We start from the raw sequence: 15,896 nt of genomic DNA, 5'->3' as shown, positions 1-15,896 counted from the left end.
AATTTTACTCATTACAATTAATAAAATACCATATTTTTATTCTAGAATTTCCCTTTATTTCTCTTACCTTTATGTTGTTTTCTAAACAACTGAACATAATGTTTAGCTGTTTTAAAATGCAAATCTGCCTGTTCTATCACCTCTAAGTTTTCTAGATCTGTATTTGTTTCCTACTTTTTCTTCTGGGTATGAGTCACATTTGCTTGCTTCTTGAAATGGTTATTTTCACTGACTGCTGAACATGGCAATATATATTATACTGTTGGATGTTCCATTTAATTGTATTGTTTTAAAGAACGTGGGGCATTTTTCCATCAGGTAGTTAAAACATTTGCATACTGGCTCAATATTTTCAAGCTTGTTTTTAAGTTAAAAGAAATTCTAGTGAAGTCTTTACTTTGGATATAATTTAGCTACAGCATGTAGTAAAGGCATGACATTTCTGTTACAGGAAAGGGGTCCCGATCCAGATCCCAAAAGAGGGTTCTTGGATCTCGCACAAGAAAGAATTCAGGGCGAGTCCGCAGTGCAAAGCAAAAGCAAGTTTATTAAGAAAGTAAAGTGGGGAAAGAACAGCTACTCCATAGATAGAGTAGGGCGTTCCTGTAAATGAGAGGAGGAATGCGTCCACCCTAGGTATAATGCTCATAAATATATATAGGATAAAAAAAAAAAAAGAGCATGCACAGATGTACTCCTCTATAAGGGTTTGTGATAAATGATTAATTTTCTTAATTGCTATATTTTGTAAGACTCGATATTATTATCTTTAAGGCAAAATTAGGAATGTCTTTGTTCTCAGGTTATCAGTATATCAAGACACTCCCAAGTCCGGGTCTGTTTAGTAAACATTATCAATCTGTTACCTTAAACATAAACATCGAGAAGCTGGGAATATCTAACTCTGGGAATGCAGCCCAGCAGGTCCCAGCTTCATTTTCCTAGTCCTCACTCAAGATGGAGTCGCTCTGGTTTGAATGCCTCTTTAGGGTCTCTCCTGAATGCCCTTAGTATTCAATAATGACTGGCCATTTTACCAGGGTGAAATTCAAATGCTTTCAAGCTCTATGTGAGTTTCCGGAATTGTTAAGGTTTTATTGTACTTGGTTGTTTTTTGCCCAGCCTCATGGAGTTTCACAGCCAAGGCTTAAGGGGCCTCTCAGGGGGGCTGTTTTCCCCTATGGCTCCCTCTTTTCTAGAAATCTATTCTGCAAATTCCAGCTACCTCATTTTCTCTGAACTCTTATTCTGTCTCATCAACTCAGTGAGACTGCCATTTTCTGGTTAGGATGGCTCTCACTGCATCACTGTCCAGATATTGCTTCCGGGCAAAAATCTGTGTCAAATTTAAGGCTCATCTTGTTTTCTTTCCTACTCTCAGGAAACACAGTTTTGTACTACATGCCATCTACTGTCTGAAAACAACTTTTTAAAAATATATTGTAATTTCTTTGTTTTAAATTTTTTACAGTATAAGTCCAGTCCAACTTATTCCGTGGTGGCTGAGAATAGAATTCCCATCATTACTGTTGCTTCTTTTATGAGTTACAAAAGTGGGATGCATTTTGTTCTGGTAGCTTTAACAGCTATCCATATTGGTATTGTTTCTGACATTGCCCTGCTGCTGGTGCTGCTCTTAGAAGACTAAGTATTTTAGGAAATTCCATTATAATTTCTAGACAAAATTTGTGTTGCTTAGTAAATTCTCTTCATTATAAATTATTTTAGAGATATGGGTGCTTTAAACAAACTTTCCTCTGTAGGTTTTACATATTAATATTAGTTACTATTTATTGGGTACCTGGGTACCTGTTATGTGTCCCATTTATATCAGTGATCTCTAATTTACCTGATAGCTTGTATATTAAAGGAGGTATTATTTATTTCACTGCAGAGATGGAAAATGTTTTATTTAAACCATTAAATTAACTTACGTGGCTTACATAGCTAATAAGACAAGGAGCTATAATCTGAACTCAAGGCTTTCTGTCTCTTTTTCTAGTATGGCATAAAAAAGAAAATCTAGGCCAGGCACTAAAGATACCAGTCCTGTCTTCCATTGATACTCCAAGTGAGATCTGTAAAGGGCTTCTGATTTGAGACTTAATTTTCCACAATGGAATGAGAATCTTGCTTTAAATGTAAATGAACAAAGCCTCTGAGAGGATCATTATAGTCCTGGTGACAATTTCCATGGCAAAACTTTCTCAATGAAGGAATCAGTCAACTATTAATAGTATTATTTTTTAAATATACTGTGGCAAGCTACTTATATCATCATAAACCAGCAACATTTCATGGACTGGTTAAACTTGGAGTGTACTGTCCTATACTCTCTGGCTTCTTAAAACTCAATGAGTCCTACAACTTTCCTAAATAACAGTTCTTCGACTGAAAATAAGAGACTTGAATGAGAATTCCTTGAACATCTTTTTCAGCTCTTAGCATCATTTAATGGTAATAAGTTATATAGGAATTAACATATATGACATACAGTGGCAAACTAAGAAAGTTAATACATGTCTTTCATTTTTCACATTATAGTACTGAAAAATGTCTGGAAAAATTATATATGTATATAAATTATATATATATAATTAAATAGCCATAGGATTATATATATATAATATATATATATAGTATATATACATTATATATATATATAGGATATATATATATATATAGGATATATATATATATATATATATATATATATATATATATATCCTATTTAAAACATTAGGAGACCAGATCTTTACATAGCATGTCATTTAAACACACAGGCTTTGTTGACAGATTAACCTAAATTCACGTCCTGTTTGCCACTTACTAGTTATATGGACTTGAGCAATTTCCTTAATTTCTGAGCTTCAGTTTAAATTATTGGAGAATAGGGGACATTAATGCCTAGCTCCCAGAATTTTTGTGATTACTGAGCATGAATATAAATAGTTCAACTCATCATGTGTCATGGTATAACCAATTAAACATAGTATTGATTATTAAATCGATGAGGTGTGTGTGTATTACCTTGGTGTCACATAGCCTTTTTACCTTACCCATGTTATATTGCTCATATACTGTCAGCTTAAATAAATATAATAATTAAATAGTTATGTTTTATTCACAGAATTACCCTGTAAGCTCCTTCAGAGCAGGTAACATGGCTTAGAAAAAAATGTGCAGAGTTTATGTACAATTACTGTGATTGAATAAGCAGATAAACTAATTAGCACCCTAAATTTATAACAATATACTAAGTTTTACTGAACAACACAATAGTGTCACATTCACGGGTAATTACATATCACCTAGGCACAGCATAGTACCTTAGAGAATAATTTGAATGTTGGATACAAAAGCTCGGTTTTTTATTAACTTTTATTTCTGCCTGTATTAGTTTGCTCGGGCTGCCATAACAAAATGCCATGGACTGTGTGGCTTAAACAACAGAGATTAATTTTCTCACATCTCTGGAGGCTACAAGCTCAAGGTGTTGGCAGGTCTGGTTTCTCCCGAAGCCTCTCTCCCTGGTTTGCAGGTAACTGACTTCTCAGTATGTCTTCACCTGGTTTTTCCTGTGTGTGTGCCTATCCCTGGTGTCTCTCAGAGTGTTCAGATTTCCTTTTCTTATAAGGACACCAGTCAGATTGGATTTGAGCTCACCCTAACAGCCTTATTTCTAACTTAATCACATCTTTAAAGATCTCACCCCTAAATATGGTTAGATTCTGCAGCATGAGGGGTTACAACTTCAACATATGAATATTGGGGAACACAGTTCAACTCATAACACTGCACTTTTCCTCTTTGTCTTGAATAAACCTGTTGATTAGCTGTCGAAATTTGGATGAGTAACTTGCTGTTGTATCTTTCTGTGTTAGGTGCATCCATGTGGGTGAGTATGTTTAAAACAAACACCTCAGGATATGTGATATGCTAAATGGAAAAGTAAGGAAAACATACAAGATTGCCGTGTTTTTCATCGAGTCACTAGTGCAATTCCTCAGATTTCTGACAAGCTGCCTACATCCCTTGGGAAGGGGATTTGTAGTGAGGCTACTATAAAATTAGTATTTGATTGGAGATGTTTAAAAACTTCAGGAGAGTATCCATTTTACACTTGAAATTTTATGTCAAGAAATTTTGCTTCTCCCTGAGGAGCAAATCTCAAGTGATATTTGAAGTCAAGGTACGTTTAATCCTTTGCTTTTTTTTTTCCTTTTTCTTTCTTCCTTTTTTTTTCTTTTGCCTTGAGTATGCACTGTGTTTCCAGCTGACAGATCTTTATGTCTCTTCTTTGGAATTGCATTTCACACAACCCCTGAATCACCACAGAGAGTCACCATGATTAATCAATGAAGGCCAGAAAAATGAAAGAGTAACCACTTATCCGTGCTCAGTTTCCTTTGATGCAATACACATAGGGGGAGCTTGAGTTTTGAGTTTGAAAACTAAATTTGATTATAGGCTGAACTTTTTAATATATGGAGCTGCTTCTTCTTTGCATTTAGACATCTGCTCACGCAGAAATTTGTTCAAAGCATATGCAAAGAATGAATCAGAATTAATAATGGAGCTAGAAAAATTTATTTTTAGAGAGAAACACTGTATTTGTATAGACACTCTCCTTATTTTATGGAGTCTTCGGTGCATGGAAATATTGGCTAACAAGTTATGGCTATCTCAGTGACAGAGATTCAACTATTGGTGATTTTGGATTTTAACAAATAAAAATAAAAATATTTGCTCACTTCTGAAATGTTTAAACAGGTTTCCTAATTCCTGTAAATTGAGTAAATGTAATTCCTATAAATGAGCAGACCTATACTTAAAATTTTCTTTCTGAATTCTCCAGAATAATTAAGTTAGCTATCAGCAATTATAGAATAGAAAGACAGGATTTATTTCTACCATGTGCATAGATTCCTTCTTCTTTGGTTGTGATTACTGATGTATCTTTCTTTATCTATTTGTGATAACCTTTTATGACAGCTGTTGCCCATCGTTAGATGCCAGCTGGATTCCTCTATGTATATAATGTTGCTAGCTTTTATAGAGCTTTTAGAGGAGTTTTATTAATGGATTATAGTGAAGTTGAAGGAAGATTATTTGTTTAAGCTTTCACTTCACCAGAGGTGGTCTAACAACACCAAGTTTGAGTGCAGCTTAAATTATAAACTTAATATTTGGGCCTCATTTTGATCAAATGTTCTTTCACACTTAGTTTCAAGATTGTGTTCTTTATTAGCTTCTCAAACTATGATACTAAACAATTCTGTGAAAAACCTGAAATAGGAGTTCTTCACTTTTAATCAAGTGAGAAACCATTTGGAACAGTCTTACAGAGCCATGAAACTCCTCTTCAGCAAAACGCATGTAGGTACTTACATGTATGTTTTTGCATGCAAGTTCAGTGTAATGGATACTTTGATGCTCTTTTGCCAATCTATTTAAAAAAATATGTAATCCTTCCTAATAATTTGGCCCTAAGAATTTTCTGGGATCATTTCTTTGCCTCGGTTTATGTAATCTCAAGAAGATTGGTGTTTCTGCTAAGGTTTTGTTTAAAAGTAATAACACTTACCCATAATAATGAACACACTATCTAATCTCCATTTTAAGTCAGGAACAAAAAATTTTGCTTTGAAATCATTGCAATAAAAGCCCTAGACCCAGATCATTAAGTCTAGTTAAGTCAAGAATATTTATTATAAAAATAATCACATAAAAAACTGAATATTGACTTTATGCACCTCAGAATAAAAGTATATAACTTCCAATTAAATTATTATATGCTGGTAAATTGCAATTTATATATTGATATGCCTATGGTATGGATTAATGGTAGTCAGACAGTTATATAGTATTGTACATCAAATACCTATTTTATATCAAGAATTGATCCAGTTACTGAGAAAAGTAAATACATATTTGACATGAATCTAAGGATTTATGAATATTGCAATCAAGATAATACATCAACCAATTAGAGAAGTATTATACATACCAAGTTGTGGAGGATTTAGAAAAATCTTTTTGAAAAAGAGTATTACAAATAAAATATTTTGTTATAGATGACATTTGGATAGACAGGGTCAGGGAGGAAGCATTTTGGTTTGTAGCAATTTTTGCTGAAACAAATAAGGATACACATTCATTGTGTTAATCATTTATATCTACCATGTACACCTGCCTCTTGCTGCCAAGTTTGCACCCTAACGAATGTACCTTAGATGATAAAATAGTCTTCATTTTATACCATTTGTTCACATAAGTATTTCCAGTCGAAATAAGATCTTGATTATAAACAATTATTTACTTGTATTAATCTGTTTGTGCTGACGTAACAAAATATCACAGACTAGGTGGCTTAATTAAACAAGATAAATGTATTTTTTTTTCACAGTTTTGGAGGATAGAAGTCCAAGTTCAAGGTGCCAGCAGAGTCAGTGTCTGATGCGGCCTCTTGACTTGGGTTGTAGACACTGTGGTCTTGCCTTATGCTCCCTATGCTCACATGGCGTATTTATACATGCACAAAAAAAGAGTTCAAGCCCTCTGATCTTTTCTAATCCTATGGATCAGGGTCCCACCCTTATCACCTTATTTAATCTTAATTACTTCCTTAGATGCCCTATCTCCAAATACACACACGCTGAAGGCTAAGACTTCAACATATGAATTCTGAGGGGAAAACATTCAGCCCATAACACTACTTTTAAGCAAATAATAATAAAAGGGATAAGACAGAGATAAAGAGATAGAAAATGTACAAAACATTAAAAGATATGGAGAAGAGTAGAAGTATTAAACTTCCATTTCTCCCAAAGTAGAGAAACAAAATGTAAACTGGAGGGAGGGAAATAATTAAAAACAACAACTGTATATCTGGAAATGATAAAAACCTATGACTAAATAACTTTTAGATTAAGCAAGAAATCATAAAAGGAATTTAAAATAGGAATCAACAATGTCTGACCTAATTAGTTAAGAGAAAAATATAATAAAACAACACTTTACATCATTTTATACTTACATAGCAGTCCAAAATAGAAAGTCATATAATTTTAAGTGCTAGCAAGCGTATAGGTAGATTGAAGAGCATACATTCATACAAAAATTCCGTAGATTAATTGAGCAGAACTTAGTACACCTAATGACAGAAATTTTCATTGCTGAATATATATCACCTCCTTTCACACAGATTTAAAAGCTAATGAAGTAGCTAGTGCTTCTTGCTTTTATTTTTGATAGTAGGACACTGTGGTACCTTATGCATATTCATAAAGAAAATAGACTAGTAAAATGAGATGGATACATGGCATGGAATACATTGTAATAGTTATGAACAGTAAATCAGATGTATCAGCCAACATGAATATATCTTTAAAACATAAGATACCTAACACATTATATGTAAATCAAAAACATATGTAAATAAAAAATAATGATTTTAACTTTTATTTTTTTTTATATACTTTAAGTTCTAGGATACATGTGCACAATGTGCAGGTTTGTTACATATGTATACATGTGCTATGCTGGTGTGCTGCACCCATTAACTTGTCATTTACATTAGATATATCTCCTAATGCTATCCCTCCCCACCTCACAACAGGCCATGGTGTGTGATGTTCCTCACCCTGTGTCCAAGTGTTCTCATTGTTCAATTTCCATCTATGAGTGAGAACATGTGGTGTTTGGTTTTTTGTCCTTGTGATAGTTTGCTGAGAATGATGGTTTCCAGCTTCATCCATGTCCCTGCAAAGGACATGAACTCATCCTTTTTTATGGCTGCATAGGATTCCATGGTATATAGGTGCCACATTTTCTTAATCCAGTCTATCATTGATGGACATTTGAGTTGGTTCCAAGTCTTTGCTATTGTGAATAGTGCTGCAATAAACATATGTGTGCATGTGTCTTTATAGCAGCATGATTTATAATCCTTTGAGTATATACACAGTAATAAGATTGCTGGGTCAAATGGTATTTCTAGTTCTAGATCCTTGAGGAATCACCACACTGTCTTCCACAATGGTTGAACTAGTTTACCATCCCACAAACAGTGTAAAAGTGTTCCTATTTCTCCACATCCTCTCCAGCACCTGTTGTTTCCTGACTTTTTAATGATCGCCATTCTAACTGGTGTGAGATGGTATCTCATTGTGGTTTTGATTTGCATTTCTCTGATGGCCAGTGATGATGAGCATTTTTTCATGTGTCTGTTGGCTGCATAAATGTCTTCTTTTGAGAAGTGTCTGTTCATATCCTTCACCCACTTGTTGATGGAGTTGTTTGTTTTTTTTCTTGTAAATTTGTTTGAGTTCTTTGCAGATTCTGGATATTAGCCCTTTGTCAGATGAGTAGACTGCAAAAATTTTCTCCCATTCTGTAGGTTGCCTGTTCACTCTGATGGTAGTTTCTTTTGCTGTGCCGAAGCTCTTTAGTTTAATGAGATCCCATTTGTCAATTTTGGCTTTTGTTGCCATTGCTTTTGGTGTTTTAGACATGAAGTCCTTGCCCATGTCTATGTCCTGAATGGTATTGCCTAGGTTTTCTTCTAGGGTTTTTATGGTTTTAGGTCTAACATGTAAGTCTTTAATCCATCTTGAATTAATTTTTGTATAAGGTGTATGGAAGGGATCCAGTTTCAGCTTTCTCCATATGGCTAGCCAGTTTTCCCAGCACCATTTATTAAATAGGGAATCCTTTCCTCATTTCTTGTTTTTGTCAGGTTTGTCAAAGATCAGATGGTTGTAGATGTGTAGTATTATTTCTGAGGGCTCTGTTCTGTTCCATTGGTCTGTATCTCTGTTTTGGTACCAGCACCATGCTGTTTTGGTTACTGTAGCCTTGTAGCATAATTTGAAGTCAGGTAGCGTGATGCCTCCAAGTTTTGTTCTTTTGGCTTAGGATTGACTTGGTAATGCAGGCTCTTTTTTGGTTCCATATGAACTTTAAAGTAGTTTTTTCCAATTCTGTGAAGAAAGTCATTGGTAGCTTGATGGGGATGTCATTGAATCTATAAATTACCTTGGGCAGTATGGCCATTTTCACGATATTGATTCTGCCTTTCCATGAGCATGGAATGTTCTTCTATTTGTTTGTGTCCTCTTTTATTTTGTTGAGCAGTGATTTTAACTTTTAAAAGACACATATTAAACACATTATAATAAACGCTGTGGGGAGGGTAAGGAATAGCATATAAAGAAAAAAGATGAAATAGAACACAACAAGGAAGGGAACCCCCCAAAGGACAATAACAATAGTTTTTATAAACTGATGTATTAATGAACCTCTTGAAACCTCAAATCTAAGGTTTATTTTATTTTATGTAAGATAAAATAAAGGATTTAGTAAGATAAAATAAAATACTAGGATGAAATTTAATTGTAGAATAATTAACTTTTTCTGAGATGAATAGAAAATTTGAAGCTTAGCTAAAAAAGTAATGAACTGAATTATCTACATGGAAAAGCAGATGTGTGGGAAAACATCCATTAAATAATTTGAAGTTTGTCCCAGAGTTACTTGTTGACAGTAAATTTTGGAAAGAACTATGTTTTTTAGAATAAAAACATAGTAAGATAATGTAAAAAACATCTAGCACTATTGTTTATCTAAACACAAAGAATTTATAATTTTTGGCCAGGCTGGTCTTGAACTCCTGACCCCAGGAGATCTGCCCACCTCGGCTTCCCTAAGTGCTAGGATTACAGGCATGAGCCATCATGCCTGGCCAACATGGTGAAACTCCGTCTCTACTAAAAAATAAAAAAATTAGCTGGGCATGGTGGTATGCACCTGTAATCCCAGCTACTCAGGAGGCTGAGGCAGGAGAATCGCTTGAACTCAGGAGGCGCAGGTTACAGTGAGCCGAGATCTCACCACTGCACTTCAGCCTGGGCAACAGAGCCAGACTCCATCTAAAAAGAAAAAAATATATATGTATGTGTGTGTATATATGTATATATACACACACACACACACACACACACATATATATACACATATATATAATTGTTAAAGTTTTTTTGTTTATATAAATGTAAAGGTTACAAGTACAGGTTTGTGACATGGATGTATTGCACAGTGGTGAAGTCTTGGCTTTTCTTGTAACCATCACCTGAATAATGTGCAGTGTACTCATTATGTACTTTCTCGTCCTTCACCCCTCTCCCATCCTCCCACCCTAAAGTTTTGTGTCTTGCTCCAATAGAACCCTACAGCCCTGTAATAGGAGAAATATAAGACAACTGATATGATTAATAGATATAGATAAGATTGATAAAATGCTCAGAGGCTAAATTTTTCTTGGTTCTAAAGATAAAGCCATGGGGGAGGAAGAGGACCAATACAGCAAGAAGTAGAGTAAAACTCATAGAGCAACAGGAGGAAAAGTAATGATTCAAGAATCTGGTAATACTTCAAATGAAACGGGTACAAAATGAATTTTAGAAAAATTATCTAAAAACGATTACACATTTTAAATGTGTTTTATTCTAAGTTTTGCTAACTTATGCAGCAGTATCAATTTAAAAATCTTATAGGCATACCAAAACACAATTTATTTCTCACTCTTGTCACATGTTGGTGGCTGCAGACCAGCTACAGCTCAGCTCTTCTCTGCTTCGTGGGTTGTCTTTATTCCAAGAGTCAGGCTGAAGAAGCAGCCTGTATTTGGGAGATGACTTTTTTTTTTTTTTTTTTTTTTTTTTTTTTGGCAGAGCAAGATGACTGGCTCTTAACTCTTTACTGGCTCCTAAAGCTTACACTTAGTCATGCTTAAATCACATCCACTCACATCCCATTTGTCTAAGTTAGTCACACAGATCAAGTCCAATATCAATGGGATGGGGTGTATGTATATTCCTCCCAGTGGAAGTCCAATAAATCTCATGACAATAGGGGATTTATGTTTCTCCTAAGAAATATGAATAGTCAAGAACAATGATATGATCTGCCATAATAAATATCATATATAGGTTGGTCCATTTCCTGATACACCACCTTCCTAGGAATAGAAAATGTTAACTGCTAGTCCTTGCTTTAGGGCAAGTAGGTGAAAGGACTGCTATCATGATGCAGGATTTCCAAATATCAGAATGAGGAGGTCTTTGTTCTGAAGTAGCAAAATCCACATTAGAAATTTTGTTTATTTCTAGGGAGTGTGTTTCCTTTGGTCAAGCAGTTTGGTAATTATGTTCCACCAGGGGTAGGTGTGTATGTATGTGTGCGTGCATGTGTGTTGGTCTGAAAAGAATCTGCTGGTATAGTAATGCTATAAAATATTTCAATTAAGATTCTGTTTGCAGATTTATATTTACTCTGTCTTTTTGTTGTTGTTGTTACTGTTGTTGGCAAGCGCCTACTCTGAGCTGGAAACATTTTCCAGCTCCTACCTCCATCATAGCCCTAGGATGTGTAATCTGGACTGTGGCTTTCTTAACAGTGATGGAAAGATCACTATTGTTACCCATCCTCTGTATACCAACAAATATGAGAATTAACTTGTTAGTGTAGTTTTCATGGAGTAATTTAATTAAAAATAATAATAGTGAGAATTCAGAATTTAGAGGAAAAAAGCCTGAGGGATAAGAGTTGTTCAACTTGGCCAGAGAGATTAGGGAATGCTACACAGGGGAAATATATAAGTTAGGAAGAGATGTGGGAATGAGAAAATATGGTTGAACACTAGGAGGATATAGTAAAGGCAGTGTTGTGCTGGACTTAATTGTGCCTGAGAGCTGATTATTAAATTTTCAAGATTGTGTGAGCTGGTTGTTAAAAACAGCCAGTATTAAAATTTAAATTATATAAACTTTTATTAAAAGCAAAGGTAATAAATACTCAAAGCTTCTCATGTTCCAATTATTTTACTGCTTTTAAAGCTATTTATATCTACTGAACCCATATTATAGACCACATATATAATGGTGTGCTACTACGCATCCTTTCCAACTCCACGTGTAGTGGCATCATGTTGATAACCTAAAATAGGCCATTGTGGGAAGAGTACACCACATAAATTGGCAAATGCTACAAGTCAAGGTGAACTCTGGGGTTTTCTCATGTGTGTGTGTGTGAGATCTAGATGTTAAACATTAAGCGTCACACCACTGATTAAAGCAAAATATAATCTGATCTCATAATCTTAGAAATTTATCCTTGAGTGAATAGAAGTGTGTGTGTGTGCATGTGTGTGTTTATGTGTGTATTACACACAAAGAAGGAGGAAGGAAGTGGGGGAGACAGAGAGAAAAGGAGATGGAAAGCAAAATAGAAACAATGGAAACAGGGAGAACTTCCGCAGCCTTTTCCACACTTATTTGTCTCAAGATTTTACTATAATGAATAAATTTAAAACATTAAATCAATCAACAGTTTTGTGTATAAAACACAAAGACTCTTTTTCCCTAGAGACCTGGGAAGCCATATGCCACCTGTAGAACATTTCCAAGCATCCTTTGTGTGAAAGGTGACCATGTGACTGAATTCTTTCCAATAGGATTTGAGCTGAAGGATGTATATCACTTTCAACCTTTTTCATGAAAATCTTTCTACGTGGCCTTCCCCCTTTCTCATGAGCTACAGAGGTAATGATTGCAGTCACAGAGACTTTACACACCCACGGCTGATGACGGCAGAACCACCAAAATCTGTTCCTAACAGCATGAAGCAATCTCTTCCAGATCCCTAGCCCCCTGCCTTGAACCACACTGACTTGGAAATTTGCTAGATTTTTATGTGAAGGACAAATAATCTCATTGCTCTTGACTTCTTACATTTTGTATCATTTGTTCCAGTAGTTTAGCTTATCCTAATAGTCTATTTTAGGCATGCAAAACATTTAAAGGATAACTGAAGAGTTTTTTCTTTTAATGATATATGGACACGTGGACCCAACCAGAGACATAAACTCAATCTATAATCCCAGTGGATAATATAGATATGCTTTGCTAGATTGTTTGCTTCATCAGGACTGATACACTGCATTTCTCTACAGATATAACTTTTCTTTTTGGGATAAGAGAGCAAGAGAAAACCGAAAAGGGGCTTGATTTTAAAGCAAACCCCAATCTGTTATGAAATTTCAAGATTTGATAAATTGTAAGAGGAAAGGAAGGAGGGAACAGAGACAAAAGATCACAGAAAGAAAATCTAGAATGGGAGAAATGGAGGAGGGAGATCTTGTTTTAAGAAAGACCAATGCATTGGTGGCTCCTAAAGAATGTCAAATTTAAGACTCTTGATCCAACTTTTATTAAAAAAGTAGGCTCTCTGCTCAGTATCTGATGGAATCCACCTGCCAATTATACAGCTTTGCTCCTTTACTATCTGGGAACCCGTTTGGAAACTAGGAATGGTACCAGGCCAACTAAATAGCAGCATATTTGTGAATGAATGAGGCCAAATGAAGGAAGTGGAGAAGTGGAGAAGTGAGAAGTGGTGTGGGTCAAATAGTTATGCAAAGGTATAGAAATATAACGAATCTGGGAGCTGGCTACTGTGGTACACAACTGTAGTCCCAGCTACTTGGCAGGTGGGAGAATCACTTGAGCCCAGGAGTTTGAGGCCACAGTGAGGTATAATGGTGCCACTGAACTCTAGCCTGGTCAACTAGGTGAGACTCTGCCTCTAAATAAATAAATAATATGTAATTAATCCTGGATGTCCTTTCCAAGTGTCTGTATCAGCCCTGTCAAGCAAAACACCAAACTTACTAAATCATAAAGAACTCTTACTCATTCTGACAGCCGATATGACCTGACATTTTAAAAAAATTTAAAGTTGGCATACAAAATATGACTTGTTATCAAGACCTTTTCCTTTTTGTATGATGATGATGATGACAAAAATACTTTTAAGAACAATAAAATAACTAATGTTGGTGTCTCCCTATTTACACACTTTCTCCTGGGTGGTACAGTCACTGAATGTTCTCACCTCCAACACCATCCATTCTTCACCTTTTTTTTTCTTTTTTTCTTTTTTCTTTTCTTTTTTTTTTTTTTTTTTTTTTGAGACGGAGTCTCGCTCTGTTGCCTAGGCTGAAGTGCAGTGGCACAATCTTGGCTCACTGCAACCTCCACCTCCCAGGTTCACACCATTCTCCTGCCTCAGCCTCCTCAGTAGCTGGGACTACAGGCACCCGCCACCATGCCCGGCTAATTTTTTTGTATTTTTAGTAGAAACGGGGTTTCACCATGTTAGCCAGGATGGTGTCGATCTCCTGACCTCGTGATCCACCCGCCTCCCCCTCCCAAAGTGCTGGGATTACAGGCATGAGATACCGCACCCGGCCCATTCTTCACCTTTCTCTATCCTGTTCTGTGCCGTAGAGGTCTCAAGGGGACTGGTCCCTGAAGACTGTTTTACTTGAAGTCTTTGGCCTCTGGCTTACAGTTGGATTAGGCCAAGGAAAGACAGTAGCTAGGAGGACAGAAGGAGAGAGAGATCAATATGGTCAGAAAGTGAAGTTTGAACTTTAATAAAGGCACCTTTTTTTCTTCTAAAGTCAAAGGCCTCATAAGAGGTGAGTAGAGCACTTCTTTGTACATCAAAGGGACTACCTGTAAAAGAGGAATTATAATCCACTCCATCCTTCAGCAAAACAGGGAAAAAAATGTTGGGATAAAGAGATAACAAGAATTTTTCTGCCTTTGCTCTTTAAGAATTATGTGTTCTCTACTAGGAAAGGAAGATACCTACACAAGTATTTTATGATGGCTCAAATGATAAAATTTGTATTCCCAGCTCTTTGGGGTAAATTTTTTCTCCAACATCCTTGCTGTGCTATTACCATCATTATTACCATTAATGTCATTGATAAATGTGCTATTAAAGGGATGTTATGAATTGTTCTGGTTTATTGCAACATAAATTTTTTAAAATCAAAAGCTTTAATCTGTAGATAATACTCACAGTGTTTTCCCATGACACTTGGAATATATGACATATTGACAGGGCCACTCAAACTTTCTTAACATATTCAGCTCCCATCTTTAGCTGTCTTTGATATGTGCATCATACTCACAATTCAGACCTGTTCAGGTCAGCCAAGGTCTACCCAGATCATTTTTTTTGGCTTTATCTGAAGTTAATAACCTAATGGAACTCTTGCTGTGGAATATGCAACAACATAATTGGAGGGAGCAGGTAGGGCTAGTTATGACAGCCTTATTTTTTGTGCCAACCAAAGCATTGCAATATGAATTAGTCCCTCCAAACTGCTTACTCTCGTAATTAAATCTGCTCTAGGAATAGCTGTTTTATAACTGTTACAAATCAAAGAACTATGCCACTGAAGTATTCACTTGCCAGGAGACTGTGACATCTCATCTGTTAAAAAGATGATGTTTAAAAACAGCCACTTCTCCTTTTCTTTTTGAAAGATTGTTTCACTGAATGGACATTTCCTTGAGTTGTATTGAGGGAAATGGGAGTTGAATCAGCAGCACTTACACAATGTATGACTCCTATTACTCTTCTCCCAGGAGCATAGGGATTTGCATGGCCTAGCAGACTGGAGGCTGTAATGATAGAACTCAGAGTGGGTTGGGAGCACTGGAATATCTAAGGATGTATGAGTCCCATGGCGTCCATTTTTCAGAATTCACTTCTTTAGAAGCAGACAGTGCTTTTGAGGACAAAACTAATAGTACCTAATTCCTTGGGTGTTCATTGTGGAATGCTATTATCCATGCTAAGGTAATTTGCTATTAATATGGATGTAATACAAAATGCTATCAAAATTTCCACCCTAATGTAGCCTTCATAAATGTCTATTAGTTAGCAACAGCTCCTGTTTCCCAGTTTGAATTAACCTCTTTGAAGATGAGTGAACATTTTCTGCACAGCACAGCAGTTTGTAGCTAGCTGCAAATGGA

At 35.6% G+C, this 15,896-nt stretch overlaps 1 long non-coding RNA gene across 1 annotated transcript in view; it reads left to right on the top strand.

The window, feature by feature from the left end:
• Positions 1-15,896, top strand: part of LINC02745 (long intergenic non-protein coding RNA 2745) — an 83,737-nt gene that overhangs the window by 20,122 nt on the left and 47,719 nt on the right. The window contains exons 5-6 of the long non-coding RNA NR_135065.1: positions 3,401-3,541; positions 3,885-4,192. This is a non-coding gene — a long non-coding RNA (long intergenic non-protein coding RNA 2745). The remainder of the gene's footprint in view (positions 1-3,400; positions 3,542-3,884; positions 4,193-15,896) is intronic.

This window comes from Homo sapiens, chromosome 11 (assembly GCF_000001405.40).
Source record: "Homo sapiens chromosome 11, GRCh38.p14 Primary Assembly".
NCBI lineage: Eukaryota > Metazoa > Chordata > Mammalia > Primates > Hominidae > Homo > Homo sapiens.
The sequence above is the reverse complement of the archived record's forward strand: the minus strand, read 5'-3'. Positions and strand labels throughout refer to the sequence as shown.